Source organism: Homo sapiens, chromosome 16 (genome assembly GCF_000001405.40).
Source record: "Homo sapiens chromosome 16, GRCh38.p14 Primary Assembly".
Taxonomy (NCBI): Eukaryota; Metazoa; Chordata; class Mammalia; order Primates; family Hominidae; genus Homo; species Homo sapiens.
The window spans coordinates 13,756,579-13,761,690 of record NC_000016.10 but is presented as its reverse complement, the minus strand read 5'-3'; the positions used below and the strand labels follow the sequence as shown (position 1 = coordinate 13,761,690).

The following is a 5,112-nucleotide window of genomic DNA, read 5'->3' as shown; positions in this document are numbered from 1 at the left end:
CACAAACCTCTTTTTATATCAATAATTATACATATGTATCATCATTTTTCATGGTTGAGTAGTAGTATTCTATTGGAGATATATATATATATATATCCATTTTCACACTGCTGATAAAGACATAACTGTGAGTCATCATTACACATGGCTGGGAAGGCTTCACAATCATGGCAGAAGAGCAAGGTATGTCTTACATGGCGGCAGACAAGAAAGGAAATGAGAGCCAAGTGAAAATCATCATATCTTGTGAGATTTATTCACTACGATGAGAACAGTATAGGGGAAACCACCCCCATGATTCAATTACCTCCCACCAGGTCCTTCCCCCAACACATGGGAAATATGGGAGCTATAATTCAAGATGAGATTTGGGTGGGGACATGGCCAAATCATATCAGTATGTATATAATATTAAATCAATCACCTAGTGTTGGATATTTAGTTTGTTTCCTTTCTTTCCTGGTTTCCTTTACCTTCCAACCCTTCCATCGTCCATCCTGAAATAAACACCCTTGATCTTTTTACCTGCATTGGAAGGAAGCATTTGCTTAGAACAAATTCTTATGTGTAGATTGTTGGGTCAAAGTGCGCCCATTTTTTTAGGCTTCTGATGCATTCACGAGTCTGCCCTCTGAGAGTATTCTACTGATGCCTACAGGGAGTATGACAATTTTGACCTCAGAATTAAACCGTCCAGTATCGCCTCTCTGGAGGTGTGATGTTTGCACTGAAAACTGTAGGATGGATATGACTTGACGGGATAAAGGACGGAGATGGTGATAATGGTGGTAGTTGTGATGGCAAGCATTCTAGACAGAGGAGCACACATGTGCAAAGAACACTTGGTGGGAGGAAGTAAGTGACCCTCAGAGAGGAAGGGATGGTCACTGGAAGACTGAGCACATAGAATGAGGTGGGGAGGACATGAGAGGAGGGGCAAGAAGTGGGCAGTGGGGGAGGGAATATGGATGGAGAGAGAGAGAGAGAGATCGTACAGTGCCTTGTGGACCATGCAGTGGATTTAGGCTTTAATCTTAAGAGATGCTGGAAGTCATTGAATAGTTTTAGCAAGGTTGGAGGTCGGGTGACATAAATGCATTCATCATAATTCCATGAAGTGAGTAGGAAAGACATCACTTTCTCATGTGGCAGATAAAAAGACCACTTTTAGAAAGTCTAAGTAGCTTACAAGGCCTCTTCCTTTCTGCAGTACAAATCAGTGTTCTTTTGGTCATACTAAATGACTAATTATGGGCCAACACATGAACTGGGATCTTTAACAACAGATCCCCCAAATACGCTGGTGGGGGCTAGAGTAGATGTTCTCGGTACTCCACCCACCTCCCCTGGGTACTCTCCTTTGCAAGCTGAAGGTTACTTACTTCCAGCTTTCTTCTTGAGGGCTTTTCTTTTCTGGCCACAAGATCAGACACCCAGCACAAAGGGCAGGCTGGAAAGGCCAAGGAGTTAATGCCCCTGGAAGTCACCCAATGGCAGATGGAGTTGGTGGATAAATACCATAACCTTCGCAGTCCTAGGATTGCCAAATAATTCTGAGGCGTGTGCTCCATCTTGCTAGATGGAACACAAACTAAGGCAGGGATGTTTTTTTTCCATTGAATTTGTGCTTCTTGCAATTTTACTGTGAGCACTTGGAACTTGGTAGGCACTTAGGCTCTGAAGATGGAGATTCTTCTGATGAGCATAAGACCAAGACTCAGTATTTGTTTCTCTCTCCCGCTCATGACCACGGAGCTGTTGTCAGGGGAGGATGTCCTTGGGCACTGTGCATAAACCTTGCCTGGGATGCATTTCTGCTCAAGACAGGATTTGACAGTGAGCACCTTCTAGGATATCAGCAAAATAGTGTTAGCACCATGCATGGGGTTACAGGTTTAATCACCAGCTCTTGTCAATTCCACTATAACATGCCTGCCATCTTCTCACACCTGATACCTTCACTACCCAAAAGATCCCAAAGTTGCATCAATAATTCATATAAAAACCGATAGCACCAGACCTCAGGCATGTTTTTCAACAGTCAACGGGTTTCTGGACTTTTCTCTACCTTCTGGGTCAGGGCTGGTACTCTGTTTTCCTGAACAGCAGGTGGTATTGAGTGAAGAATTATCTTCAAGGTGGATACTTGCTGTTATTTCCAAAGGATATCAGTATTGGGGATGTGAATTAAATGCTCATAATTAGAAGGTGTTTTTCTGCCAAACTTCTTTAGGGAAAATTTCCCCCTCATTCTGTCTGATATCCCCATGGAGACGAGGGGGGGAAATTCATATCTGGAAGCAAGCAGTTGTATCAGAAATAATGGCTTGAGGCACTAGGAGAATGTAATCAATATTTACCTGCTGAGAGATGCCATGATGAGAGGAAAATTGACTCTCCCCCACACTGCATAGATCCCATTTTGGTGTCCTGCTTTCTTTGTGTGTATCTGGCAGAGGGGAAAATGCATAATCTTGGTTCTTCATGGAGGATTAAAAAAAAACCCATGGAACTATTACATCGTCAGTCTGCATAAGATAATCCATTGTTGAAGGATGGGAAGCTTAAAATATCCAAGCAAGTCTCCTGGTTATCCACCAGGTTTCTGTTTATTTGTGTCGAAATTGTTGCAGCCTGGGGCATACTTTTCTTTTATCTCCTCCACCCCTTGCCCAGAACAAATAATAATTGATAACACTTGTTTTATTATTTGTGTCATCTCCCTGGAAAAGTGTCCTGGGGGGAAAAAGACATGTGGGTTGCGAATGTTTCTCTGGACTGTTTTACCATAAAACTGGGGTTGTAAGTATAGAGAATCCTCTAAAACTTCAGTGCATACCATCTAGTAGCCAGTCACCTAGGCTAAAGCGCAGCAGTATGATATCTGCTCACTGTAACCTCCACCTCCTGGGTTCAAGCGATTCTCCTGCCTCAGCCTCTGGAGTAGCTGGGATTACAGGTGCCTGCCACCCTGCCTGGCTAATTCTTGTATTTTTAGTAGAGACAGGATTTTGCCATGTTGGCCACGCTGGTCTCGAACGCCTGACCTCAAGTGATCCACCCGCCTCGGCCTCCCAAATTGTTGGGATTACAGGTGTGAGCCTCCACGCCCAGCCATTATCATGTTTTATAATGATGATCTCGTTTCCTTCCATAATTTATCATTATTCCTGTTTTACATGTGAGACTGCTGGGGCTCAGCAACATTAAGAAACTGTAATGGTGGAGCCAGCTTTCAAACCCTAAATTTCAGATCCTAACACCAATGCCCATTGTATTATTTTAAGCTGCTCTTTTGAGAAGAGGGCACTAGCCCTAGGGCAAGAGATCGGTGATGGGCTCCTCAGGGAGAAGAAAGAGCGTTAATTTCTGCCCCGACTCATTTTGGTGGTCCAGGTGCAGAGCTTTGCTCTTAGGTGTGGAAAGGAAAGTGTCCCTCCTCCTCCCAGCTCCTGCTAGTTCCTGGAGGTTCTTGGCCTGCATTCTTCCTGTCTTCATCAGCCATAGGCCTCGTGCAGTAAGCTCTGAAGGAACCTGGCCAGTTCGAAGGATTGGAGACATTCTGAGGGCTCTTAGCAAAGGAGGTCTTGGGTGCTGTCTTAGTTTCTTTGTGTTGCTATAACAGGCTGGGTAATTTATAAGGAACAGAGATCTATTTCTTACAGTTCTGGAGGCTGGGGAGTCGAAGGTCGAGACTATATCTGGCAAGGGTCTTCTTGCTGTGTCATCCCATGGTGAAAGTAGAAGGACAAGCAAGTGAGAGAGAGAGAGAGAGAGAGAGAGAGAGAGAAGAGAGAGAGAGAGGAGAGAGAAAGAGAGAGAGACAGAGAAGGGGGTGCAAACTTATAATTCATCCTTTTATCAAGAACCCACTTCCGGCCAGGTGCAGTGGCTCACACCTGTAATCCCAGCACTTTGAGAGGCCAAGGCAGGTAGATAAAGAGGTCAAGAGTTCGAGACCAGCCTGGCCAACATGGTGAAACCCCATCTCTACTAAAAATACAAAAAGATTAGCCAGGTGTGGTGGCTGGCACCTGTAATTCCAGCTACTCAGGAGGCTGAGGCAGGAGACTTGCTTGAACCCAGGAGGTAGAGGTTGCAGTGAGCCGAGATCATGCTGTTGCACTCCAGCGTGGGCGACAAGAGTGAAACTCTGTCAAGAAAAAAAAAAACAACTCACTTCCATGATGAGGAACCATAACGGCATTAATCCATCATTAAGGTAGAGCCCTCATGACTTAACCACCTCTTAAAGATCCCACCTCTCAACACTGTTGTCAACATGTAAACTTTGGGGAGCACATTTGAACAACAGCAGGTGTTTTTCCTTTCTGTCTTGGAAGCTCATTTTCTGCTCTCTGAGATGACGGCAGGTGACCCCACTTCGGCTGAGGAGGATGTTTTCCAGGATGCTGGTCCCTAGTCCTTGGCAGAAACCCTATACGGTTTTAGGAGACGAACAAGAAACACAGTCTTCTCTCTGAGACAGATGTTCCTGAAGTTTAATGGGCATGATTATCCTTCCTAATAAGGCACGTTGCAATGCAGGGAAAACCACAGAGGCAAAGGTAGCGGAAAAGACATTCAGCAAACCCATCTCCATAAATACTGGGAATGAGATCCTTGGGAAAATAGAGAGAAGGAAAAGAATGAAGTGAATTGTTGACGGAGGACAAAAATCTCAAATAAAACAGGAAGAAAGCCTGTGCCTTGTGAAAATGATCCAAAGTCTATGACACGTATTAGGAACAAGACAGCCATGAAGGGTAAACTTGAGGAGGGAGGGAAGCCGGGAGTAGGGAAGCAGCAGACGTGGAGTGAGACAGATGACAGCAGTAAAAGCAGCACAATGGGAATGATGATAAACTCTTAAGTGCAAGTGAGAGAGATTCAAGTAATGAGAACCTCAGATAAGACAAATACAAGAAATAAAACCAATTTTAGAGCAAGACTGATGAGCCGAACGGAACGGACAGCCAATGGGGGCACGGTGGGGGGTGAGAAGCATGAAAGAGACAAATCCAAAGAGAAAGGAAATGTCTCGGTTGCTACGGCTGTCAAATGGCTTTGACAAGGGAAAGGAAGATGGACAATGGGGGGCTGAGGCTGGCG

General features: G+C 44.8%; 1 annotated feature.

Annotated features, from left to right (window-relative positions):
• Nucleotides 3,584–4,783: an enhancer, noted in NCBI's record as "BRD4-independent group 4 enhancer chr16:13850765-13851964 (GRCh37/hg19 assembly coordinates)". NCBI's record gives its function as "activates an origin of replication core promoter dependent on BRD2, P300/CBP, MED14 and CDK7 cofactors, and independent of BRD4, by STARR-seq in HCT116 cells {active_cell/tissue: HCT116}" and the evidence as "EXISTENCE:reporter gene assay evidence [ECO:0000049][PMID:35650434]".